We start from the raw sequence: 27,193 nt of genomic DNA, 5'->3' as shown, positions 1-27,193 counted from the left end.
TGTTGGTCAGGCTGGTCTCGAACTCCCGACCTCAGGTGATCCACCTGCCTTGGCCTCTGAAAGTGCTGGGATTACAGGCATAAGCTGCCATGCCTGGCCATATATATTTAAATAAATGAGTCAAATTCGAAGAATCTACCATGACAAGTATATGCAGTGATCACACAGTTTAAATGTATTATTTTATAACATAAAAATCTACCAATTGAAATAGCACTACATTTCTCATTTTCATTATCTACTTTCATTGCCATTGATTTCATGTTTGTAATTCTGCCTTTATCAGATTTTAAAAATTTAAACTTTTGCATTTCTATGGAAAATCACAGAACTGTGGACTTGTAAAATTATTGTAGCTTTCATTTTCAGCTTTCCAAGTATTTATATTTAATGACGTTCATATTTTGTGGAAAAATATACTTTCTAAAACTAAAATTTTCATGTAAGAAAAATACTTTATAAAACATGTTCCATTATCCATTGCTCTTGAAAAACAAAACTGCCCTACAATAAGGTAAAAATGCTTCCCTAGACCCACTTGTATTTATTAATAGAGTACCATTTCTCTGCTTAAGTAGGCTAAATACCATAAGTTTTAGTTGTTTCTTTTTCCATGGAGTTAACTTATCAGAAAGTCAAAGTATACGATTCTTAGATGTTTTAGATGACTTGCTCTGGATCCTCTTCTTTTAGACATTTTTTGGAATGAATATGAGTAACTACTTCTTAAATGTTCTCTTGTTTTTCATGAGTAAAAAATATGCCTTATCCAGACCAAATACCGTATAGCAGGACATTTTAGCAAATGGCTTATAACTGTTTGCATTGCTACTTTTAGTTACTCATGTTTTTCTTTGCAGATTAAAGTAAAATCTATATATAGATGCTTTTGCTTTATTCATAGAAAATATGAATTTATTAAGAACTTGTACTCAGTAACTTATTCACCACAAATTTCTGCTCAAAATTATTTTTACTTTGTTCCCCAACATAGGGTAACCACAGTATCCAGGGTTCTCGAGGCCCAACAACTGGTCCTTCAGAGTTAACTCAGTTAACATTAGAGAGCCTGCTGGGGAAGGCTGCAAAGCGGACAAGTAAGGAATATCTAAGGAGCGCCTACACAGAAGCAGGAGCAACAGAAAGCCAGGATTCCTCGATGGAGCAAATAGATAGAAATAACTTTGAAATGAGTTTGTTGCCTACAACATGCCTTTCTCCAACTGGAAGAAGGTGTGGGTCCTGTCAGAAAACTCCAGAGCCCGTAATCAAAGCGAAGGATCTATCAGCCCAGCAAGTGCCAGCTTCACTAAACAAAACCTCCCTGAAAGAAATCTCAGGGGAAAGGCTGAGCTCGATCCCCGAAGCATCTGTAAGTGGTTCCCGTGTGGTTTACAGATGCCGGCAATACATCCTGCTGTGTTCCGTTCTGTTCCACCCATGTTTTTAGCAGTATCTCTTTTTCATCATTTGGGTGATGAGTGTTGTATTTTCTTTCCTGTTCTGATGTGTTTTAGTTTGGTAATAGCAGCTGTTAAAGAGTCTACTGCACATCCCAAGGATAATAGAATACCTCATGTTTTTAATGAGAAAGATAATTATGTAATTTTCATCATAACAGTTATTTTATTTTCTAGTTACTTCCCATAATTTGTAGTTATCACTGCCTGCAAATTATAAATGATGATCTTATTTTTGAGCCAAAAGCTTGCCAGTAAAATTGACAGATTTTCAATAACAATCTACATTAGGAGCCATAAAAACACCATTATTCTATTCACTTTCTACAGCAGTTCCCCAAATAATAAATGATATGAGTGAAGGTTAACATTAAAACAGTGTCATCGAATAAATCCCTCGGCTAGTTTGGTGGCTGTATTCGTGTCCATCAGATTGATTTTTTCCTTCCTGTATTAGTACTTTTCTTCCTTCAATTCCCCTATAAGCTGCACTTAGAAACTAGAGAACAAATGAGGCTATGCATAACAAATGACATGTACATTCCATTTTTTAAAACATTTAAGATTTTCTCTATGTTTCATGTCCTAAATATTCTGTGGGTGTTGCATTGTAAAGCTTTGGTTCAAGTATGTTCTAAGCAAGTTAGAGTGGATTAATTGTTACCTGGTGTAGGTAGTAGATATATTCATGATTATCATCAGCAAAATAGAAGTAGCTAATATTTTGTGAACATTCATCATGTACCAGTCTCTGTACCAAGCCCTTTTTTTTTTTAATTATACTTTAAGTTTTAGGGTACATGTGCACATTGTGCAGGTTAGTTACATATGTATACATGTGCCATGCTGGTGCACTGCACCCACTAACTCGTCATCTAGCATTAGGTATATCTCCCGATGCTATCCCTCCCCCCTCCCCCCACCCCACAACAGTCCCCAGAGTGTGATATTCCCCTTCCTGTGTCCATGTGATCTCATTGTTCAATTCCCACCTATGAGTGAGAATATGCGGTGTTTGGTTTTTTGTTCTTGCGATAGTTTACTGAGAATGATGATTTCCAATTTCATCCATGTCCCTACAAAGGACATGAACTCATCATTTTTTATGGCTGCATAGTATTCCATGGTGTATATGTGCCACATTTTCTTAATCCAGTCTATCATTGTTGGACATTTGGGTTGGTTCCAAGTCTTTGCTATTGTGAATAATGCCGCAATAAACATACGTGTGCATGTGTCTTTATAGCAGCATGATTTATAGTCCTTTGGGTATATACCCAGTAATGGGATGGCTGGGTCAAATGGTATTTCCAGTTCTAGATCCCTGAGGAATGGCCACACTGACTTCCACAACGGTTGAACTAGTTTACAGTCCCAGCAACAGTGTAAAAGTGTTCCTATTTCTCCACATCTTCTCCAGCACCTGTTGTTTCCTGACTTTTTAATGATTGCCATTCTAACTGGTGTGAGATGGTATCTCATTGTGGTTTTGATTTGCATTTCTCTGATGGCCAGTGATGGTGAGCATTTTTTCATGTGTTTTTTTGGCTGCATAAATGTCTTCTTTTGAGAAGTGTCTGTTCATGTCCTTCACCCACTTTTTGATGGGGTTGTTTGTTTTTTTCTTGTAAATTTGTTTGAGTTCATTGTAGATTCTGGATATTAGCCCTTTGTCAGATGAGTAGGTTGCGAAAATTTTCTCCCATTTTGTAGGTTGCCTGTTCACTCTGATGGTAGTTTCTTTTGCTGTGCAGAAGCTCTTTAGTTTAATTAGATCCCATTTGTCAATTTTGGCTTTTGTTGCCATTGCTTTTGGTGTTTTAGACATGAAGTCCTTGCCCATGCCTATGTCCTGAATGGTAATGCCTAGGTTTTCTTCTAGGGTTTTTATGGTTTTAGGTCTAACGTTTAAGTCTTTAATCCATCTTGAATTGATTTTTGTATAAGGTGTAAGGAAGGGATCCAGTTTCAGCTTTCTACATATGGCTAGCCAGTTTTCCCAGCACCATTTATTAAATAGGGAATCCTTTCCCCATTGTTTGTTTTTCTCAGGTTTGTCAAAGATCAGATAATTGTAGATATGCGGCGTTATTTCTGAGGGCTCTGTTCTGTTCCATTGATCTATATCTCTGTTTTGGTACCAGTACCATGCTGTTTTGGTTACTGTAGCCTTGTAGTATAGTTTGAAGTCAGGTAGTGTGATGCCTCCAGCTTTGTTCTTTTGGCTTAGGATTGACTTGGCGATGCGGGCTCTTTTTTGGTTCCATATAAACTTTAAAGTGGTTTTTTCCAATTCTGTGAAGAAAGTCATTGGTAGCTTGATGGGGATGGCATTGAATCTGTAAATTACCTTGGGCAGTATGGCCATTTTCACGATATTGATTCTTCCTACCCATGAGCATGGAATGTTCTTCCATTTGTTTGTATCCTCTTTTATTTCCTTGAGCAGTGGTTTGTAGTTCTCCCTGAAGAGGTCCTTCACATCCCTTGTAGGTTGGATTCCTAGGTATTTTCTTCTCTTTGAAGCAATTGTGAATGGGAGTTCACTCATGATTTGGCTCTCTGTTTGTCTGTTGTTGGTGTATCAGAATGCTTGTGATTTTTGTACATTGATTTTGTATCCTGAGACTTTGCTGAAGTTGCTTATCAGCTTAAGGAGATTTTGGGCTGAGACAATGGGATTTTCTAGATATACAATCATGTCATCTGCAAACAGGGACAATTTGACTTCCTCTTTTCCTAATTGAATACCCTTTATTTCCTTCTCCTGCCTCATTGCCCTGGCCAGAACTTCCAACACTATGTTGAATAGGAGTGGTGAGAGAGGGCATCCCTGTCTTGTGCCAGTTTTCAAAGGGAATGCTTCCAGTTTTTGCCCATTCAGTATGATATTGGCTGTGGGTTTGTCATAGATAGCTCTTATTATTTTGAAATACGTCCCATCAATACTTAATTTATTGAGAGTTTTTAGCATGAAGGGTTGTTGAATTTTGTCAAAGGCTTTTTCTGCATCTATTGAGATAATCATGTGGTTTTTGTCTTTGGCTCTGTTTATATGCTGGATTACATTTATTGATTTGCGTATATTGAACCAGCCTTGCAACCCAGGGATGAAGCCCACTTGATCATGGTGGATAAGCTTTTTGATGTGCTGCTGGATTCGTTTTGCCAGTATTTTATTGAGGATTTTTGCATCAATGTTCATCAAGGATATTGGTCTAAAATTCTCTTTTTTGGTTGTGTCTCTGCCCGGCTTTGGTATCAGGATGATGCTGGCCTCATCAAATGAGTTAGGGAGGATTCCCTCTTTTTGTATTGATTGGAATAGTTTCAGAAGGAAAGGTACCAGTTCCTCCTTGTACCTCTGGTAGAATTCGGCTGTGAATCCATCTGGTCCTGGACTCTTTTTGGTTGGTAAGCTATTGATTATTGCCACAATTTCAGCTCCTGTTATTGGTCTATTCAGAGATTCAACTTCTTCCTGGTTTAGTCTTGGGAGAGTGTATGTGTCCAGGAATTTATCCATTTCTTCTAGATTTTCTAGTTTATTTGCGTAGAGTTGTTTGTAGTATTCCCTGATGGTAGTTTGTATTTCTGTGGGATCGGTGGTGATATCCCCTTTATCATTTTTTATTGCATCTATTTGATTCTTCTCTCTTTTTTTCTTTATTAGTCTTGCTAGAGGTCTATCAATTTTGTTGATCCTTTCAAAAAACCAGCTCCTGGATTCATTAATTTTTTGAAGGGTTTTTTGTGTCTCTATTTCCTTCAGTTCTGCTCTGATTTTAGTTATTTCTCGCCTTCTGCTAGCTTTTGAATGTGTTTGCTCTTGCTTTTCTAGTTCTTTTAATTGTGATGTTAGGGTGTCAATTTTGGATCTTTCCTGCTTTCTCTTGTGGGCATTTAGTGCTATAAATTTCCCTCTACACACTGCTTTGAATGCGTCCCAGAGATTCTGGTATGTTGTGTCTTTGTTCTCATTGGTTTCAAAGAACATCTTTATTTCTGCCTTCATTTCGTTATGTACCCAGTAGTCATTCAGGAGCAGGTTGTTCAGTTTCCACGTAGTTGAGCGGTTTTGAGTGAGATTCTTAATCCTGAGTTCTAGTTTGATTGCACTGTGGTCTGAGAGATAGTTTGTTATAATTTCTGTTCTTTTACATTTGCTGAGGAGAGCTTTACTTCCCAGTATGTGGTCAATTTTGGACTAGGTGTGGTGTGGTGCTGAAAAAAATGTATATTCTGTTGATTTGGGGTGGAGAGTTCTGTAGATGTCTATTAGGTCCGCTTGGTGCAGAGCTGAGTTCAATTCCTGGGTATCCTTGTTGACTTTCTGTCTCGTTGATCTGTCTAATGTTGACAGTGGGGTGTTAAAGTCTCCCATTATTAATGTGTGGGAGTCTAAGTCTCTTTGTAGGTCACTCAGGACTTGCTTTATGAATCTGGGTGCTCCTGTATTGGGTGCATATATGTTTACGATAGTTAGCTCTTCTTGTTGAATTGATCCCTTTACCATTATGTAATGGCCTTCTTTGTCTCTTTTGATCTTTGTTGGTTTAAAGTCTGTTTTATCAGAGACTAGGATTGCAACCCCTGCCTTTTTTTGTTTTCCATTTGCTTGGTAGATCTTCCTCCATCCTTTTATTTTGAGCCTATGTGTCTCTGCACGTGAGATGGGTTTCCTGAATACAGCACACTGATGGGTCTTGACTCTTTATCCAATTTGCCAGTCTGTGTCTTTTAATTGGAGCATTTAGTCCATTTACATTTAAAGTTAATATTGTTATGTGTGAATTTGATCCTGTCATTATGATGTTAGCTGGTGATTTTGCTCGTTAGTTGATGCAGTTTCTTCCTAGTCTCGATGGTCTTTACATTTTGGCATGATTTTGCAGCGGCTGGTACCGGTTGTTCCTTTCCATGTTTAGCGCTTCCTTCAGGAGCTCTTTTAGGGCAGGCCTGGTGGTGACAAAATCTCTCAGCATTTGCTTGTCTGTAAAGTATTTTATTTCTCCTTCACTTATGAAGCTTAGTTTGGCTGGATATGAAATTCTGGGTTGAAAATTCTTTTCTTTAAGAATGTTGAATATTGGCCCCCACTCTCTTCTGGCTTGTAGGGTTTCTGCCGAGAGATCCGCTGTTAGTCTGATGGGCTTCCCTTTGAGGGTAACCTGACCTTTCTCTCTGGCTTCCCTTAACATTTTTTCCTTCATTTCAACTTTGGTGAATCTGACAATTATGTGTCTTGGAGTTGCTCTTCTCGAGGAGTATCTTTGTGGCATTCTCTGTATTTCCTGAATCTGAACGTTGGCCTGCCTTTCTAGATTGGGGAAGTTCTCCTGGATAATATCCTGCAGAGTGTTTTCCAACTTGGTTCCATTCTCCCCATTACTTTCAGGTACACCAATCAGACGTAGATTTGGTCTTTTCACATAGTCCCATATTTCTTGGAGGCTTTGCTCATTTCTTTTTATTCTTTTTTCTCTAAACTTCCCTTCTCGCTTCATTTCATTCATTTCATCTTCCATTGCTGATACCCTTTCTTCCAGTTGATCACATGGGCTCCTGAGGCTTCTGCATTCTTCACGTAGTTCTCGAGCCTTGGTTTTCAGCTCCATCAGCTCCTTTAAGCACTTCTCTGTATTGGTTATTCTAGTTATACATTCTTCTAAATTTTTTTCAAAGTTTTTAACTTCTTTGCCTTTGGTTTGAATGTCCTCCCGTAGCTCAGAGTCATTTGATCATCTGAAGCCTTCTTCTCTCAGCTCATCAAAGTCATTCTCCATCCAGCTTTATTCCGTTGCTGGTGAGGAACTGTGTTCCTTTGGAGGAAGAGAGGCGCTCTGCGTTTTAGAGTTTCCAGTTTTTCTGTTCTGTTTTTTCCCCATCTTTGTGGTTTTATCTACTTTTGGTCTTTGACGATGGTGATGTACAGATGGGTTTTCGGTGTGGATGTCCTTTCTGTTTGTTAGTTTTCCTTCTAACAGACAGGACCCTCAGCTGCAGGTCTGTTGGAATACGCTGCCGTGTGAGGTGTCAGTGTGCCCCTGCTGGGGGTTGCCTCCCAGTTAGGCTGCTCGGGGGTCAGGGGTCAGGGACCCACTTGAGGAGGCAGTCTGCCGGTTGTCAGATCTCCAGCTGCGTGCTGGGAGAACCACTGCTCCTTCAAAGCTGTCAGACAGGGACACTTAAGTCTGCAGAGGTTACTGCTGTCTTTTTGTTTGTCTGTGCCCTGCCCCCAGAGGTGGAGCCTACAGTGGCAGGCAGGCCTCCTTGAGCTGTGGCGGGCTCCACCCAGTTAGAGCTTCCTGGCTGCTTTGTTTCCCTAATCAAGCCTGGGCAATGGCGGGCGCCCCTCCCCCAGCTCGCTGCCGCCTTGCAGTTTGATCTCAGACTGCTGTGCTAGCAATCAGCGAGATTCCGTGGGCGTAGGACCCTCCGAGCCAGGTGTGGGATATAGTCTCGTGGTGCGCCGTTTTTTAAGCCGGTCTGAAAAGCGCAATATTCGGGTGGGAGTGACCCGATTTTCCAGGTGCGTCTGTCACCCCTTTCTTTGACTCGGAAAGGGAACTCCCTGACCCCTTGCGCTTCCCAGGTGAGGCAATGCCTCGCCCTGCTTCAGCTCGCGCACGGTGCGCGCACCCACTGGCCTGCGCCCACTGTCTGGCACTCCCTAGTGAGATGAACCCGGTACCTCAGATGGAAATGCAGAAATCACCCGTCTTCTGCGTCGCTCACGCTGGGAGCTGTAGACCGGAGCTGTTCCTATTCGGCCATCTTGGCTCCTCCGAGTACTGGTAATTCTTAAGGAATGCTTACTGAAAATGATTTGCTAAGTGCTGGGTAAACTTGTTCTTTGCAATGTTTTATTCATACTTTAATAGAGTTATCTATTACTACGTTCAAATATTTTTAATTAGGAAAGAAGTACAACCCTCTGGGTAATATTGCAACCATGTAGATAGCTGGTAATTAAACTTTTTCGCACGTATAACTGTATTCAAGCAATTTTGAACGAATCATTTTAAACTGGCAAATGTCATTATGTGTTTCTTTAAACAAACAAACAAAAGACTTATATAACAGACTTTATAGCTCCAGAAAAAGTTTGAGCTTATTGAAGAATGCGTAGTTTCATAAGAAAGACAAAGCATGCTACCAATTATAAATTCAGGTATTGTCTTTAGAAAAGAAAGAGACATGACTTTTAATAGGAAAAGAATTGTAAAATGAGCCATATAACTTTTGACTTTAACCTTCACATCTCCATTTTTGAAAATCAAAACTGAATTATGGAAAGACACTTTTGAATATATTTTAGGCCATAGAATAGTGTGAGCACATTTTTCCCTTTAATTATCAAGCCATTTCCTTTGGATAATGTAAAAGAATTAGTTTTGTTTCTGCCCCGATATATTTAAACTCAGTATTGGAGTAGAGAATATCATCACATTTTTAAAGTAATAAAAGTCTCTGCAATTTGTGCTCCATAAACTTAGAGAAAAAATGAATTTGTAAATTATTTTAGTATTTTTAAAGCATTGCTTCATTATATAAAATTCTGCCTTTTCTAGGGTATATAATACTCTTTGTTCAAGCCATCTCTCTCTCTTTCCATTTGCCACTCAAATGTGCCATTTGCAGCTGTTTTTCCAACAATACCCCATTGTTTGAAGAATCCATAAATGTCTTTCTGACCCTTCTCTCCCTTCAGCTACAACAACATTGCATTATTTCAAAACACCTGTTTGAGAGTCAGGTCACCCTGTGTGTTAGACATATGTTCATTGCCCTGGCTAACTGTGCAGGTTCACTTAGGGGTGGTTCTCCCTCCTTTGGCAGTTTCTACCACATGTGCCCACTGGCCTCATGCTGCTCTAGGTCATTTGATAAATAGCCTTCCCCAAACAGAACCCTCTGTCAAAGCTATCTGCATTTTCATTCTCCATGACTGAAAAGTCAAAAGCAGTGGAAACCATGGCTCAGAGCACCAGCTGGAATCAGACAGGCCTGGTGTTGAGTCCTGGCTTTGTTCTTTCTTATCTATGCAACCTTGGACACATTTCTTAATGTCTTGGAGCCTCAGTTACCTCATCTATAAAATGGAGAAAATAATACCTATCCCACAAGGTTGTTTTGAGTGTAAAATTAGATAGCGCATGTAGAACACCTAGCCCCTAATCTGAAGTATACTTTCTTCTACCTTTTGCTGAGTGGTTAGGCAGAAATATAAACCAGTATGGCTGGCATTCTAAAGCAAATGAAACCTTCTCAAATTCATAAAGTTCCATAAATTAATTACAGGTACTGTTCTACAGGGGTGGTGGCTCTGTGGTTGTGTGCTTCCTGCTCTTTATTTATAGTTGAATCAAGTGCTAACACAGTGAATTTCTGTGTGCTTTCTGCCAGGTAACATATTGGCATGTTCTCAGGGATAACCTAAAGAGAGAAAAATATTTATTTATAAGCAGGAAGCAGTGTCTATCTGATAATTTCCCGGAGACCACCCTCTGTGTGTCTACCTTGTTCACACAGCTAAATTGCAGATGTGTAGCTTCCTGCTTGAGGTCTTGAATTGAATTTGGGCATAACTAGTAGCAGTTCATAAACCATAATGCTAACCATAGTGAGAATGTTTCCTTTACTAAGTGGGACACTCCTACCAATAGCTTTTGGAAAACAGTCTGATATTTGATGTTTTGTCAAAACTGCACTCTTTCCTTGTCTCAGAAAAGACAAGTTTATTATCTCAGTTTTATCTGTCAATGCACTGCTGGGGATATTGCTGAAACTGCAGAATTTGGTGATTAAATAACATTTCCACTGCCAGTAAAAGTATTTGAATTAGGCATAGAAATTTTCCAGGTGTAACTTGTTCCTGTCCCTCTGCTCTCTTTTTAAATATTTTTCAGACGGAACCCTGGCTGTGCTACAGAATGGTTTGTTTCTTTCATTTTCTTTGTATCCAGTGTTTAATGCAATGGTTGCAAAGGCAAAATGGTGTGGAGTAGAAGTATTTTTAAATAAGTAAAATGGAATTATGGTTCAAATTTTGGGTAATGGTATGGAATAGCAGTAGTCACTAAGACATTTTGATATCTCCATTTCTGAGCAGCTTTGTATGCAAACAGTGCGCCCATTACTCTAATGAAGAGGAGAAATTTCAAGTTCTCAAAAGTTTCGGAAATTCTAGGTAGAAAGACTTGACAGACATTAAGGTGCTATCAGAAGTATGAGTTGGCTGTTTAGCCAACACTATGATGGTTCACTGTCAATTCTTTAATATTCTAGTGCTAAGGTTAGCATCCTACTCATCAAATGTTTATTGAAGACATTTATCTTCTCTGCTGTCTTGGTTTTCCAAGTTTTAAATAGAAGCAAGTCTTACTCACCTCTTCATGGAAAAGGTACTAAGCTGAGTGTATTTCCTAAAAGCACTAAGATCTGAAATCCTTGACTCAGAAGCTTTTATGTGACTTTAATGGTTTGAGGTATCTCCCATATGCCAGGCCTTCCACAAGGTGCTCCTTACTTTATCTTATCTTCATCTCCAACCCTCACAAGAGGCCTTATTATTCCTCTTTGACAGACAGGAAGCAGAAAGGCTCCACCTCACTCTCATCTAAATTGTGACAAAGCAGTGTCAAATCCAGGAGTTAGGGACAGAAAAGCCAGGGCACCTTCCACCACAATGGGCTGCTACCCCCAATTAGAGGCCACTGAAAACATTCCATGATCATGTGACAACTTCTCTTGCCACTTTATGCTTTAACGTATTTTAATGTGCAAAAGCACACACAAATGTTGGTATATCTGTCATTACTCTATTCAACCAAAGCTTTACATTCTAAAACAGTTCAAGCTTACTTAAAGTTATCATCTTCCCACTCCAGATATATCAGTTGGCTTACCTCCTCTATTTTCATTTCTGTAAACAGTCTCAGTAATAATTTTCCTCCTGGTTCTTTAAATAATATCTTAAACTACCATTTATTGAATGGCTACTATACTTGTCCTATGTACAAGGCTATAGTTGCCCTGTAGATGGCATATCCTTGAATATAGTATGAAACCTATTCGATTAGATTTTACTATATTCCTTCTAGTGTATAGTTAATTGTTAAGCTTGAGACATACCCTGAACTCAGAAGATAGGTGCGGGAAACTTAAAATTTGTTTTTCAATTCACTTTAAGGTTAATAAGAGTTCAGCTCTATTTGTCAGAGAATTCTTTCTGAAAATTAGCAGGCTATCACAGCAAAATGTATGGAAGTATATTTCTATTTAGGTCATAGAGTAAAAAGTTATTCTATATAAATATAGCACATCAATATAAAGATCTTTTTTTACAAAACCTTTCATGCATGCTCCTCCCCAAAAAAGAGAGACACATATGTGAGATGGAAAGTTATCTATCTCTTTACAAGGAATTTTGCCACCAATTGGTTTAATTACCCAAGAATCTTCTACCTGAGACATTCTTAAGTGAGTGGTGTGCATAGTTAATGAAGTATGAGTTGAGCCAGGCTTATGAAATGTCTTCAGGGTCGCATGCTAAAATGCTTATGACAGATATTTCAAAGGCAGCATCAAGTCTGGTTATGCCTAGGTCCATGTGCCTGCCATGAACATAATACACGATCTAGATTCTGACCAGCTGGTTATGGCCTAACTCCTGATTCCTGCTATGTAACTCAATATAGCAACCCTTAAATTTAGTAAAATTTTTCAAGTTGTGCCGTGGCTTGGTCTTTAAGCTTTAATTTACTCCTTTGCATGGTAGAGACACGTGCTAAAAGCTACCATAAATTGTGAATGAGCTATGCGCACAAATATGTGTCACTTACAGCTTGTGCTTGTGGCTACTGTCTTCTCTCCATTCCTTTTATTATTGGACCTACATCCCCAATGAGTCAGGTTAAACTCTTGGGTATGATGCCTAGCTTGAGAATCTGAAACAAGTTTTCAGGAATGCTAGTAAAGAGGTGCCCTGGAACACTAATTTACCATCAGCTATTATTTAAAATGTCACTGTGGAGATTAAACACTGTCTGCAAATAGCAATAGAGAGAAGATTAATCCTCGAATTCAAATGGCAGTTGAAGTTTAAAATTAGCTTTGGAAAATGGACTTCTAGTACTTTTCTTACTGTCATGTTGGGGTCCAAAAACATCTTCCAAAACTTTCTAATGACAGCTATAAAGTTTTTAATAAATATAAATTTCAAACCACCAGTGATACTGACTCTCCAGCTGTATTTACAAAATACTTTTTTTCACTGCTAAGACTGTTTAGATTGAGTTTTCCAGTGATTCACAAGTGAGCCTTAGACTTTGTTGTTGATCAGAGAGAAGTGTGCATATTATAAGCCTGTATGTTGATGAGTTTTCACAAACTGAACACACCCATGCAACCATTTTCTGGATCAAGAAAGAGCAAGATCAGTACCCCAGAAGCCCCACTGTGCTCCCTCCCTGTCACTATTCGTTCCTCACAACTAATTATCCCCACATTTGGTTTTACCAATATGTACTCTTCTGTGTCTGGCTTCTCTCACTTAGCATTTTGTTCATTAGCTTCAATACATCACTCATTTCACTGCTGTGTCGTGTTCCACTGTGTGATTATATCATCCTTTATGTATCCATTCTACTGTTGATGGGCATGTGGGCGATTTCCATTTAGAAGCTATTAAGAATATATCTTTTGGTAGAATCTTAGACTTTTAATAAAACTTGGGCAGGGAAAGGGAAGCCATCTGGTCTCTTAAGGTTTAGAGTAAATTACAGGCATTCTTATCCTTGATGCTTTGGAACGGTATTACTGGCTTCATTGCTGAAACAGTAATGTATAAGTATTACTTGATAGTCTATTTAATTATTTGATATGAACACAAGCTCCCTACTTCCAGGTTGCCCCATGCTTTTCTGCCTGATGGCTGGAACGTGCTGCCATATTACCCTCCTTCTCCTTCAAGCCCCTTCTTAGGGACCGTCTCCTCCATCCTTTATGAAGCTTTAACTGATCCTCCACAAAACGACCTTTCTCTTTTCTGAAATGCCAAACCATTTTGTATATCTCCCTTCTCTTATGTTGTTTTTAATATTATATCCCAACAGCCACCATTTCCTTTGTAATAGTGCTTTTTTAAAAAGTTACACTGGGAATAATTTTTTTTTTAAATACAGAGGTGGAGATTGTTCGATAGTCCTTGTATTGAAAGTTTTTGCAACATGATGTCTCCTGGGCCATGACTATCAGGCACTGTCACAATGCAAGCCTGATACTGACAAGAGAGTCTCACAGATTTTGTAGGCTCCAGAACAAAAGTAACATCCCAGTTTTCTCTCAATTCTATCCCCCTTCAGCCCATGAAGAACAGAATGAGATTCTTGGTCTGATCTTATCCCATGGCCATGTCTCATTTTTCTCCACACCTCCACTGTAGATTTAGCCTTGTGTCACCCAATGTTTAGCAGAACTGGTTCCTATCTGAGGCTCAAAAAGTTCTATCATCAGATGTTTGATTGATTAAACTATTCTGTCCTAGCAGCTTAAGGAATAGATTGGGCGAAGGACATCAAGTTGAAAGGTTGTTTCTGTTTGTTGTGTTTTATGTTTTTGCTGGAGTTATCAGTTTTCCTTTTAATCATTATCAAGGACCTGTGTGATCATTAATACTATACCTCAACATATACTATCCTATTTTAGAGTTCCTTCTTTATAGCTCTCAATTGCCCTGATAGATGTAAGGTTTATGAAAGCAAGGCCATATCTTAATTGTCTTTGTAACTTCACTGGTGTAGGCTCCCAATAATGTCTGGAGAAAGATCAGTGAAAATGAATGGATTGAATGGCTTGGAGAGAGAAGGACTGGCCTGCGAATCTGAGCACAGCTGAATTGTACATAGCCTTCAGCCCATTGCCTCGTTCCTAGGACAAATCTGATTGATAATGTCTCCCCTCTTTCCTACAAGGATATTTTGAGATGAAATTGAATTATACATAACATTTTGAGCCTTTCAGAGATAGTATTACATAAGCCACTTTGCCTCTCAGCAGTAGTGTAATTTAGTTAGATGACATCTTGTGCTGGAGTCCACTTTAATGCAAAGACTTTATTGCAAAGCTTCTTAAAAATAACAAATAAATGATTTAGCCTTTCTGGTGATTTTGAAATGATTTGGGAGATTGCAAATCAAAAACATTTCGCAGGACTAAGTTAATTACCTGACTCCATCACCAGTTGCTCTATTAGTGATGCTGGAGAAAGTTGCTTTCTTCTCTCTGCTGGATTTTGGCTGCCCCTTCCAGGGTGTTGTCAGAATACATTTTACTGTTGTATGAAATAAAGTCATGGAAATGCAGCATTTTAAGCAAATATAGCATCAGCAGTGCCTGGCACATAATAGGGTCTCAGTAAGTTTCTACAGAATAAATTAACGAATCAATCTATTTCTATTACTGCAGTGGAATACAGGGAATATCGCAGCCACATATTCCTTCAGCCTCAGCTTCAATACTGCCTGCCAGTGGTGGGAGTCCCTCTGAAGGCCACTAACTCCATTTGTCAACAAATTTAATTACTCTCAAATGCCACCTTAGACTTCTGTGAGGTTTTTTCTAATTCCACTGGGCGGTTAGTCACATCTGTGCTGCATTCCTCAGGCATCTTATTCATACTTCTGTTGTCATATTTCTCACAGTACATTAGAATTCCAGTTATATAATACCTCTCAGGTCTCCCTTTGTAGACTGTGAACTCCATGACGACAGAAGTATGTCTTGTTTTCTTTGTGCTCCCAGTTCCTAGCATTTACAGAATGGATGAAAGACTGGAAGAAGGGGGACAGAGAAGATGAGAGGAAAAAATAATAAGAACAGGGATATATGTATTGACTGCCAACTCAGCAGTCTCTTAAGAGGGCTGTGCTCATCCCTGAAAGTGTGTACCAAAGACAACCCATTCAGATTCAGGAAGAAAAATTGAAAACAAGTTTGTTTTTTTAATCCTAAGCACTTTAATTCCAATTTTTTATGTATGTTTTGTACTCTACATACTATTTTAAAATGTTTGTGCATATATTTAGTTCATAAATAAACATATATTACAAAGTACACATTCAAAAATTTTCCATTAAAGGTACAAATCACGCATTTGGAGACCCCCCTAGTATATTTGTTTGTCAGGTGCCTCTACTAAGCATTCAATGTAATATTATTTCATTTAGTTCACCAAAAATCCTGTGAGGTATGTACTGTGGTCCCCATGATGAAGAAGTTGATGCATAGAGAGGTTAGGTAATTTTCCTAGTCATTTAAAGCTGGTAAGTGGTGGAACGAAGGCCCAGGCTTAGATTTTTCTGGCTTAACCACTGCCACATCCTCTCTTATTCTTCTCTCCTAGAACCCAGTGTTGTTCTTCAGGCACACTACAGCCTTGTGGATTAAATAAGTAAATTGAATGAATGACTCAATCATATGAAGTACATATTAAAGCTTTCTTCTTAAGAAAAATTATGAAAATTAAAATAAAATGTGTTTTTCATTGTAAAAGTGTGTATTGGCAATGATGAGCCAACTAACATACCTATGTGACACATTAGAACGCTTAATCCCACTTCTTGACCGAAAAACTGAAGAACAGCAAGTCACTTGCTCACTGCTGCAGCTAAAGTCAAGCAGCTGGTATTCTCATGTGCACATCTGATTACCAAACTCCTTTTTTTAAATTGAAATATAATTTGTATGCCATAAAATTCACTCTTTTAAAGTAAGGAATTCGGGAGTTCTTAGTATATTCACAAGATTCTGTAACCATCATTTTGACCTAATTTCAGAACATTTTAATCACTCCAAAAGGAAAACATGCACCCACTAGTAGTCACTTCCCGTTTCCCTTTCCTCCAGCCCCACCATCCGCTAATCTATTTTCTGTCTCTGTGAATTTGCCTATTCTGGACATTTCATATAAAGTAAATCACACAATATGTGGCCTTTTGTGCCTGGCTTCTTTCAGATAGCATAATATTTTCAAAGTTCATCCAGCCCTTCATTACTCTTTAGGCTGAGTAATATTCCATTATGTGGATAAACAAAAACTCATCCATCAGTTGATAGACACTTGGTTGTTTTCACTTTTTGGCTATTATGGATAATGCTTCTTTGAACATTTGTGTGCAAGTTTTGTGTGAACATATGTTTTCAGTTTTCTTGGTATATGCTTAGGAGTGAATTGCTGGGTCACATGGTAACTCAGATGTTTAACATTTTGAGGAACTGCCAAACTGTTTTCCAAAGTGGCTGCAACATTCTACTTTTCTGCCAACACTGTATGAGGGTTTCAGTTTCTCCACATCCTTGCCAATACGTGTTATTGTCTCTTTTTTATTGTAACCATCCTAATGGGTGTGAAGGTATCTCATTGTGGTTTTGATTTGTATTTCTCTAATGACAAGGATGTTGAACATCTTTGTATGTGTTTATTGTCCCCTCAACTACTTCTTTTGAATTTAAATTATTTCTGTTTCCTTTTTTATTTTTGCATTTTTCATTGGGATATACATTTTATTCTTCTTCTTGTGATACGTATTTTGGCCCAAGAACTCTGAAAGCATATTAAATGCTCATGAAATACCTTATTAAAGATTGCCTGGCCTCTCACAGTGCCAAGCTGCTTGTGCCATGAACTATAAGGATTTAACTGAGTTTCCACTGGCAACTTTTTAGGAAGTCTCCACATCACATTATCAGATAACAAGCTTTTATAAACCCCAAATTATGAAGATAATAATGTTTTATTATAAAGCATTTAATGTCATAGGAACTCCAAGAATTTTTTTCAAAATTATGTATTTTTAAATTTTTTACACTCCTATGAGGCAGAAAAGAAGCCAGAGAGTCCTCCAAGAAAGTGTATGTAGAGATATAAACATCTAAAAAATTCTAAGGTGTCTTGGAAAAAAATCCTTATTAGTACAACCAGTGTTTCCAGATGTACAAGAAAATTTTCAAATTGCTTTTAAGTTATATGGCAGTTCTGCGTGTAAATCACACTGCTCATATGTGATTCTAATATTTTAGTAATGTTGAAATTAATGTTTGTTATCAAATCTAGTTTAGGCCAGAGAGAAAGAAAGGGAAAATTTTGAAAAGTCTACATGCCAATTTCCACCTATACCATGAAATAATATTTATACTAGCATCTAAAGATCTGTAGTAGTATTCTTTTTCAAAAAGTACCTGACAGATGACATATACAGTAAATCCACCTTGGTTGGAGCTATGAGATCTTCCAGGCTTTCAGAACTGACAGGTTCCCATCTTACATTCAAATTTTACTTGATGGCTTTTACCAATACTAGTCATTCTCAATCTTACTGCAAGTTGAATATATTTGGTCATTATGTTTACAATGATGAAATTCATCAATTCACTCATAAGCTGTGCTTTTTTAAATGGCAAATTTAAAAAAAAAACTACTTTGAGTTTTTGTTTATTTACTTAATCTACAAAAACTGGTTGGGCACCTACTAGGCACCAGACCTAGGAAAGGCAGTGAGAGCAAAACAGTCATGGTGCTTGCCGTTGTAGAGCTCCCAGCAAACCTGCCAACTCCAGAAACAATTCCATCAGTGCAACTGTGATCAATGCTAAAAGTGAAAATTTTAAGATTCTGAGAGGGCATCATAAAGGAGCTGACCCAGTTTATGGTTGTCAGGAAAGGCTTCCCTGAGGAAGTCATCATAACTGAGGACCTGAAGGGAGCCTAAGCATTACCCAGAACACGAGGCAGAGGGGACTTGCATGTGCACAGGACTAAGAGAGGACTGATGCTTTTGAGGACCTTAATGAAGGACAAAGTGGCTGGCATGTGAGGAGCAAATGGACAGGAGGTGGTATAATGGATGGGGCAGGTAGCGCATGGAGGCATGTTAGGGATTTGGGCCTCTGTCAGTTGGGGGAGCTGCTGTAGGGGTTAAGGCTGTGGCATTTGTTAGTAGCCGTAGAATTAGGCCAAATGACCCTTTGTTATTTTCCTCTCTCTTGGTCAGGAATATGACTGGCGAAACTATCAGCCAAGCCAGATGAGTGAATCCGAGTTACAGATGCTAGCAAGCCTACGGTGGCAACAAAATGAAGAACTGGAGGATGCTGGGACCTCCCATGGCCTGAGTGCCTCCCAGGTGGACAACTGTAATGTCAGCATAAGTACCAGCAGTGACGACACAACCACCTGGAACTCCTGCCTGCCACCCGTGAGTCCCTGGCTTTGCAGCTTCCTCTCATTGCTTAACAAGGAGCAAGCTTTTTTCTAACAAATCCCAGCTTTGCCTGGAAAAGCCAGGACCAAAATGAGAACTCTCCCTATGAGAAATAATCAGAGTCCATTCTGAAATAGTGTTTGAGAAAGGACAGAAATTAGAAGATGACAGTCTTTTCTTAAATTGTCTTATTTACCTTCAGAAAATGTATATATGATGATATATCAAATCACACATTGAAAGAACAAAAAGAACAATTTTACTGTAGACACTGGGTGTCCCATTGTATCCCCTAGTACAAGCCCTGTGGCACATACAAGAGGCTCAATATTTGTTAAATAAGTATTTATGAAATGAATGAACACAGAGGAAAAGACTATAGATACACAAGTATTGCTTGGATATGAAGACAGAAAAGAACCTTCTGTAGAAGTCACCAGATGTTCACTGATTGCTCCCTGTGTCTGATGGGCTACGATAGGCACTGTGGATGCTTCAGAAGCTTATATTCCCATGTGTTTCCATAGTTAAAGCACTTCAGTATGGCCCATTGCCCTCACTATGGCCCAGCAGAGGAGTTGGAACAGGTCTTAGTCTTCCTGTTTTTCAGGTGAAGAAACTAAAGCCTGGGTCCAAGCTTCCACACCTGGTCAGTGGTGGAGCCCAGAGCAGAGCCCAGTTTTTAAACTCAGTCCATTCTCTACAATACTGTCCTCAAGGACCTTACAACTTAATTGGAAAGACAGAGCGTAAACAACAGTCGAACAGTTCAGTACAGCACAAGAAATGTCATAAGGCAGAATAATAAAATCATTGGTATAATAATGATAATTAGAGCTACCATTTCTTTAAGTACCTAGAGCCATTTTAAGACCTCCACAGGCCTGAGAAACATTTACTTATAAGGCTACATTCAATATCATAGCAAACAGACTAAAATATACTTTCATCCAAAAGTAAATATGTTTTTGCTATACAATTTTTAAAGAAAATATAAAATAACTTTTACTCATTTATATATAACTATATAAAGATTGAGTTGAAGTATAGTTGACGCGGATAAGTTAGGTTTTAAGTATTTAATTAAATACATATGAATTTTGTGACTTGCTTTTCATATTTTAAAGCCAGTTTTTTCCAGGTCTCCAACATCTTTGTAGATCTTGGAAATCTCAGAGGCCCTGGCACCTAATGCCTTACATGTTATCTAGTTTACTCCTTACGGCTACTCTGTGTGGTAAGCACTGTTGCAGAGCTCTTGAGTAATGGAGGCTCTTGAGTAAAGTGAATCAGATCTAACTTGGTCTGACTCCTAAGTCTGGGCTCCTGACCACCATGATGTGGTGACTCAGTTGTCAAATGAGTGTTATCCAGTGGATATCTGGATATCCCATGGAAGGTGAGATTTCTGTGCTCTGGGGAGAACTTACACAAGTCTTCATGGAGAAGAATTCCAGTTGGTTTGATGGGGGGATTAGTGCTCTTTATCCCTACCTTGCATACCTTCAGGTTTCTCTTGCCTCAGTTGTGCTTTCATTAAACACAACTATCAAATATACATAACACCTCTGGCAGCCTTGGTGCCAAAAAGTATCCACGCACCCAGAAAAATATCTGACTTCTGGTTACTCTGGTTAGAGTATTCTTGTAGCCAAGCTAAGATCATAAGAGTCAGTTGCAGATTTTTACCAGTACAATTTGCAGTAGAATTGAAACATTGCCTTTCTTATAAAATACTCTGCAGCAGTCATTTAAACTGCAAGTAAGAAAGAGAACAGTGGCCTCCTGATCGAGCTGATTCTGTCATGAAGTAGCTTGGAGACCAACATTACAAAGGGCAAGCTGAGGAATGATTATTTATGGACTGAAAAGGCTGAACTCTTGGTTGCCCTGGATACAGTGTTCTCATCGCTGTCCTGTTCTGGCAAGGACTGAAGTCTCCTGCATGACATCTATTCCACTCGAAAAGTATACAGCCAAAAATAAGGCCTTTGGTAATGAACTTAATAACCCCTCTATTTGACCAAATGAGAAACTGAAAATGGTCTGATATTTTTTAGACAGAGAAAATATTGAAAAGCCTACCTTTGGTATTCATAAGATATGTTTATTATTGCATCAGAGTCAGTCTATCTAACATTGGAACTACCGCCAAATGGAAAATTGTATTCCTTAATGAACTCTGTGTCTTGCTGCTTGTATAGAGTTTAGATAGAGCAATTTTGCAAGCATCATTGTGGTCTTTTTGAGAGCTCATGCCTTTCTCTTTAAAAGTTGCACAGGGACAGTGAAAAAGAAGAAATAAAAGAATTCATAACTTTATTCATCACAATAATATCCCTTTTTTTTTTTTTTTTTTGAGACTGAGTCTCACCCTATTACCCAGGCTGGAGTGCAGTGGCTCGATCTTGGCTCACTGCAACCTCTGCCTCCCAAGTAGCTGGGATTACAGGCACCCATCAGGGATTACAGGCACCCATCACCATGCCCAGCTAATTTTTTGTATTTTTAGTAGAGACAGGATTTCACCATGTTGGCCAGGCTGGTCTCAAACTCCTGACCTCAAATGATCCACCCACCTTGGCCTCCCAAAGTGCTGGGATTACAGGTGAGCCACCATGCCCGGCCTGTCCCACTCTTCTTTTATCTCAGTGAATAATGTCAACATCCATATTGATCCTTTAGCCAGGAATTTGGAAGGCATCTTCATTTCTCCCGCTTCTTTATCCCACATCCAGCTGGTCTCCAAATCCTAAGAATCCTCTCTCCTTTTTATCTCTTAACCCACCCTTCCTAATACCACAGCCTTGGCACTTTTCCTTTTTTCTTTTTTCCCCTTAATCCCATGACAGATTATGCACTTTTTTTTTTCAGTATTTATTTTAGATTGAGGAGGTACATGTGCACATTTGTCACCAGGGTACATTGCATGATACTGAAGACTGGGGTACAAATGATTCATTCATGCAGGTATTGAGCATAGTACCCAATAGTTACTTTTTCAATCCCTGTCCCCTTCCTCCCTCTCTCCTTTAGCAGTCCCCAGTTTCTATTGTTGACATATTTATTTCCATGAGTACCTGATGTTTAGCTCCTGCTTATAAGTGAGAACATGCAGTATTTGGTTTTCTGTTCCTGCATTAATTTGCTTAGGATAATGGCCTCCAGCTGCATCCATGTTGCTGCAAAGGACATGATTTCACTCTTTTTTATGGTTTATGCACTTTATTTTTCATCTGAATTCCTTCAATAGTCCCCTAACATCTCTGTGCCTCCAGTCAAAGCACTGTAACCTGGTGGTTAGGAGCCTCAGCTCTGACGTCAAATTTCCACGGTTGAGATCCAAGCTGTGACCCTTATAAAATGCTTGGCACTGTATCTGAGACATAAGTACTTAATAAATGAAGTTTAGCTGTCATTATTATTATCATTATTATTCACATTAGTGATCTTCCTAAAGCCCAAATCTGATCTGATCTGATCTCTTCATTAGGTAAAGCCTTTCAGTGACTCCCCATCACCTCTTTACCTTGGCATACAGGAGCCCCCATGATCTGAGACTTGCCCTCTCTCCAGCCTCATCTCTCACTGCACCCCACCTTTCACTCCATTCTGTAGTCCCTAGATGCACTCTGCACATTATCCCTGTACCGTGGACCTGATTATCCTCAAGACTTAGCTCTAAAGTCACTGTAGCCCTTCTCCAGGCCTCGTTGTGAAGGATACACCTTCTCTGCCACAAGAGTCAGGAGTATCTCCCTGATAACTCTCACCACAAGCTTGCTTGTCTGTCTCACATTCACTCATTCCACACATATGTTTTTGAGTGGCACACATGTGCTGTGAACTAGGCTGGCTACTGAGGATACAGATAAAGCCTTATCCAAGCTTGAGGTATTCACAGTTTTGGTGGGGAAGCCCAGGTAAACGGCTCACTGTAACTCAGGGTGGCAAGTGATAGAATAACGAGTTATGGGAACACGTGAGAGGGAGTGATTCCGCATGTGGGTTTCAGGGATGCTTTCACAGAGAAGACAACAGTTAAGCCAAAGTTCAAGAATGAGTTCAAGTTTACCATGCAGACAAGAGGGGACTGGAATTCCAAGTTCCAAAAGGAAGCCAAATTAAGTCTGTGGTGGAGGGGACAGTGGGGAGTCTCTCCTTTAGCAAGATAACCTCCTCTTAGTGCCTTCGTTTCTCTGTCAGCTTGCGTAGCACTTGAAATGAGTTTTGCTTGTCTCGCTACCCACCCCCCACCCAACATACACACAAGTGAGCCACTCTGCTCCTGCCACACTGTCAACTTGGCTGTCAGTTGGTGAGCCATGCCCTGTGTTCAGATCAGGCCATGCTCATCTCTTCTCTGTCTGGCAGCTCCTTCTCTATTTAGAAAATGGCTCTTTAATTTCTGTTTTGGTTTTTTGGTTTTTGGCTAATTTTTTATTAAAGACTTATAATTGTTTTGAGCCGTTTTGGGTTCACAGCAAAATTGAGACGAACCCTATTATCAGTGTCCCCCACCAGAGTGGTAATTTGTTACAATTAATGAACCTCCATTGACACATCATTGTCACATTATCAGGGTTCACTCTTGGTGTTGTGCATTTTATGGATTTAGACAAAGGTATAGTGACATGTATCTACCATTATAGTATCATACAGAGTAGTTTCACTGCCCCTAAAATTCTCTGTACTCTGACTGTTTATCCCTCCTTTTGCTTATTTCTGAAGGCCCCAACTCACTTGTCACTGCTTCATGAAACTCTCCCCAACCCTCATCCCACCCTGAACAGAATTATTCGCTTCCCTCTCTGGGTCCCTGTTATCTTCTGGCTCAATTACAGCACTTATGACATTAGCCAACCACTGTTACCACTATCCCCAGGCCTGGTTGTGAATTCCTTGAAGGCAGAACCCTGCCTGTGTTCTTTCATACCTTCTGTGTTGGAGCACAAAGGCTAGCACAAGGCATCACAGCTAGTTGTCAGTCATTACTTGAATGAATCAATCAATAATATTTTTAAAAATTCCTTGTTTACGGATGAGTTTAGGTCCTTTGCAGGGACATGGATGAAGCCGGAAACCATCATTCTCAGCAAACTAATACAGGAACAGAAAACCAAACACTGCATATTCTCACTCATAAGTGAGAGTTGAACAGTGAGAACACATGGACACAGGGAGGGAAACATCACACAGCAGTGCCCGTCGGAGTGTAGGGGGCTAGGGGAGGGATAGATAGCATTAGGAGAAATACCTAATGTAGATGACGGGTTGATGGGTGCAGCAAACCACCATGACACATGTGTACCTATGTAACAAACCTACACATTCTGCCCATGTATCCCAAAACTTAAAGTATAATTTTTAAAAATTCATTTTTTACTCTAAAATAATTTTCGTCAAGATTCCAAAATAAACATCAGCTTTGCTTTGCTTAAATAAATCCTGAGTGATGCATGTAATATTTTCAATTCAAGATTTGATAAATGGATATTAAATATACACCCAAAGGAAAATCTCCTTCTGAGCAGGGCCTGATTGCAAATAGGAAGAAAAAGATGTAGTCCGGTCCCATTCAGTTTAGCATTTTTACCTGACGACTTCACACACATTGCAGTCTGAAGCCAGAAAGCCTACGCAGAGTAAAATGAAGAGTCTTTAGCAAAATCCTTTGTGTTTAACACAAACTTTGATTCCTCAGCATCTGTACAGTTCAGAGTAATATGTACTGTTTAAAAGGTGTTTAGATATAACAAATTAGTCATTTAAAAGTGTAATTAAATGTAACCACATTCCTCATAGCAAATTGGCTTTTGTAGGCATCTCTTGCTAAATAAATCAAGCCTACTGAGAAATCCATTGGCCTTTGACAGACAAATTTTTCAAAGTTTCTAACTTAGAACCAAATTCAATTAAAACAATACTTTACAACTTCTGTGGAAACCAGGCTACAATCAATCAATTTTGGAGAGTTTCTGTTAGGAGTAGCCCTCGTGAGATTTATTCAAAAACTGGGCTCTCGGCAGCCTTTGGAAGGGCACTAGGAGTTAGTTATAATGAATTTTAAGTGAATTTTATCTTGGTGAGGGATTTTGATTGACAATAGCATAAAGCCATGTTGTGTGTGTGTGTGTGTGTTTTCTTTTTTTAAGGAACAGGAACAGCTATCAATGGACACTGCTTCATGGGATGCCCAAACAAATATAAACTCTAGATCAGTCAACCTGGGCTCAAATTCCAGCTCTGCCATTTATGGACATGATCATCTTTGAAATGGAAATAATAAAAGAACCTTCCTAATATTGGCATTATGCAAATCGAATGAGTACATGAAATGCATGTGCCTGGTGCTTAGCAGAGTAAGCTCACACTGACTGTCAACTGCTGTTTCCCCAAGGTTATTCTCCTCAAAGGGCCACTTGAGTGATCAGAACAGAATTTCTAGGACATTTTCCCTTTTTATGACGACTGAGACCTGAAAGAGTAAGCAGAGATTCTGTAGTGTTTGTTTTGATGTGAGTTTAACCATCAGCATACAGACTGACTCCCTCAGATCCTTCCAAATAAACTCCTTCATTATCTCATTATTTCAATATTTCATTTCACTGTCTCTCCTCAAATGTAGATTCAAGAAAAGTAGGTTTATTGTGCAGCTACCCTGTGAGCAGATGCCCCAAAGCTGTCATTCCTTCAGGTTAATAATTAACATAACCTGAACGGGGGCATGGTGGCACAGGTCTGTATTCCCAGCTAATTGGGAGGCTAAGGCAGGAGGATTTTAGCCCAGGAATTCAAGGCCAGTGTGGGTAACACAATGAGACCCCATCTCTTAAAAAAAAAAAAAAGAATTCCCATACCTAATATCAAGCACATAAGTCTCTTTAGCTTACAAAAAAGAAAAGAAAAGCTCATTGCATGCATCCATCAACATGGCATGTTGCAGAGCATAATATTCGGAGAATAACGAGGCAAAATACACTTAATAAAACTGCAGGCATATGGTGAGGTTCTCAGACAAGTTATTTATGGTCTTGATTAACCTTGCAACATTATCGCCATTTTCATAGGTTTTACATAACAACATAAAAATATTATCTTTACCTTTTAACATGGCAGGATTATCTTATCTCCGGTTCTTTTATTTAGCCTTCATTTCGCTCCCTCACCCCAAAATCTCTAGCAGCTTGATCATGGAAAAGCAAAGCTGCTTGTGCTCCGTGGTAGTTAATTATATATGAATACTGTTTTCCTGGCACTAGCACATAGCAACAGCGCCACCAAAAGGCCGAGGTCCTGAGTTTCTGGGATCTGTTCCATTTCTTTGCTCCACAGCATATCAGCGTTTTTGCATGATATTCCTGGTTGCTGTGTATTCAAAATATAATATATTGGCATTTCAGACTCCTTATAATTAATAGGTTTTAATTTGTTCTGATCTACAGATTCATTAACTTCTCAGCTCTCTTTGGGTAGAATGAGTTTTCTTTTAATCCTCCTGAACTAAAAAGGTATGCAGTTGATTGTGCTAAGCTGCAGATAAATCATATGAGCAGATGTTCTTATACAACTATAGAAATGATATACGAAAACTGATATTAGAGTCAGTGTAATAGTGACAATAGAGACAGTATCTGTACTGTCAGGAGGAAATATTGAAATGTGCAAGTTGTTCTGTGTTTAGTGACTATGAAAGTCACCCCAGGAAATAAACTTTTCTTATTCTCAGAGTACTGTCTATTACATTTTATGATTGTCCCAAATTTAGTAACGTGGCAAAACTGATTTTTTAAATTGTAAATACATAGTGACATGTCATGAGAATGAAAACAATGAAATTAATTTATGGTAAGGAGATAGTCATATATATTTCAAATAAATGTATTTCTTCAGGGTCACTTTTTTTTCCTGCCACAAACAGAACTGATTTTGTCATTTTGTTATTCAAAAACTTAAATAGTCACCACTCTAGATGCACTCTCGAGCTGGAATAAACACTACAGACTAGTGGTTGAGAGGGTAAGCTGTGGACTCAGACTGCCTGGGTTCACATTCTAGCTCCACTCTTTCCTGGCAGGCACGATCCTGGGTTAATACCCAGTGTCAATTTCCTCTTCTGTTGAATGTAGTTGTTCATCCTATTTATTTCATAGAATTGCTCTGAGGATCAAATAAGATCATATCTACCAAGAATTAGCATAAGTACTCAATAAATGTCAATCGCCGCTATTATGATGATGGTCGTAGTTCATTGTAGATACTGGTTGTCATCCCTTTGCATCTACTTACGATATTCTCTAGGTATGACTGAATGCCAAAATCAAAACAAATTCTATATTATTTCATTGGTGCTTTCACAGGATGCTACCTACCTAGAAATAGGTTTACTGCTACATATGTTTATAAGCATATTGTAGGGGAGGAAAAATATCTTTTTCTCACCCACCCTGGATTCATCGCCAAGGCCTC

The 27,193-nt window shown here is 39.0% G+C and overlaps 1 protein-coding gene and 1 long non-coding RNA gene across 29 annotated transcripts in view, besides 1 other annotated feature; one reads left to right on the top strand and one right to left on the bottom strand.

Moving 5' to 3' along the window:
- Positions 1-25,933, bottom strand: part of CFAP20DC-AS1 (CFAP20DC antisense RNA 1) — a 194,623-nt gene extending 168,690 nt beyond the window's left edge. Inside the window, exon 1 of the long non-coding RNA NR_110820.1 lies at positions 25,829-25,933. This is a non-coding gene — a long non-coding RNA (CFAP20DC antisense RNA 1). The remainder of the gene's footprint in view (positions 1-25,828) is intronic.
- The window catches only part of CFAP20DC (CFAP20 domain containing), a 333,853-nt gene that overhangs the window by 199,622 nt on the left and 107,038 nt on the right, over positions 1-27,193 (top strand). For 22 of the 28 annotated variants that reach the window (XR_001740051.3, XR_001740054.3, XR_001740052.2 and 19 more), the window contains 2 exons: positions 995-1,372; positions 18,515-18,718. Coding sequence is in view for 19 of the 28 variants with exons in the window: in XM_011533456.3 (XP_011531758.1) it covers positions 995-1,372; positions 18,515-18,718 (582 nt within the window). In the remaining 9 variants the exon portion in view is untranslated. Of the gene's footprint in view, positions 1-994; positions 1,373-18,514; positions 18,719-20,468; positions 20,719-27,193 lie in introns of those variants that run through there. The other 6 variants (XR_007095648.1, NM_198463.4, XM_047447656.1 and 3 more) reach the window with 3 other exon arrangements.
- Positions 7,345-7,961: an enhancer, noted in NCBI's record as "OCT4-NANOG-H3K27ac-H3K4me1 hESC enhancer chr3:58828169-58828785 (GRCh37/hg19 assembly coordinates)". NCBI's record gives its function as "activates a minimal SCP1, AML or CMV promoter by ChIP-STARR-seq in naive H9 embryonic stem cells {active_cell/tissue: H9 hESC(naive)}" and the evidence as "EXISTENCE:reporter gene assay evidence [ECO:0000049][PMID:30033119]".

The sequence above is a fragment of the Homo sapiens genome, chromosome 3, assembly GCF_000001405.40.
Source record: "Homo sapiens chromosome 3, GRCh38.p14 Primary Assembly".
NCBI lineage: Eukaryota > Metazoa > Chordata > Mammalia > Primates > Hominidae > Homo > Homo sapiens.
Note: the sequence above shows the minus strand (reverse complement) of the source record. Positions and strands in the feature narration are given on the sequence as shown.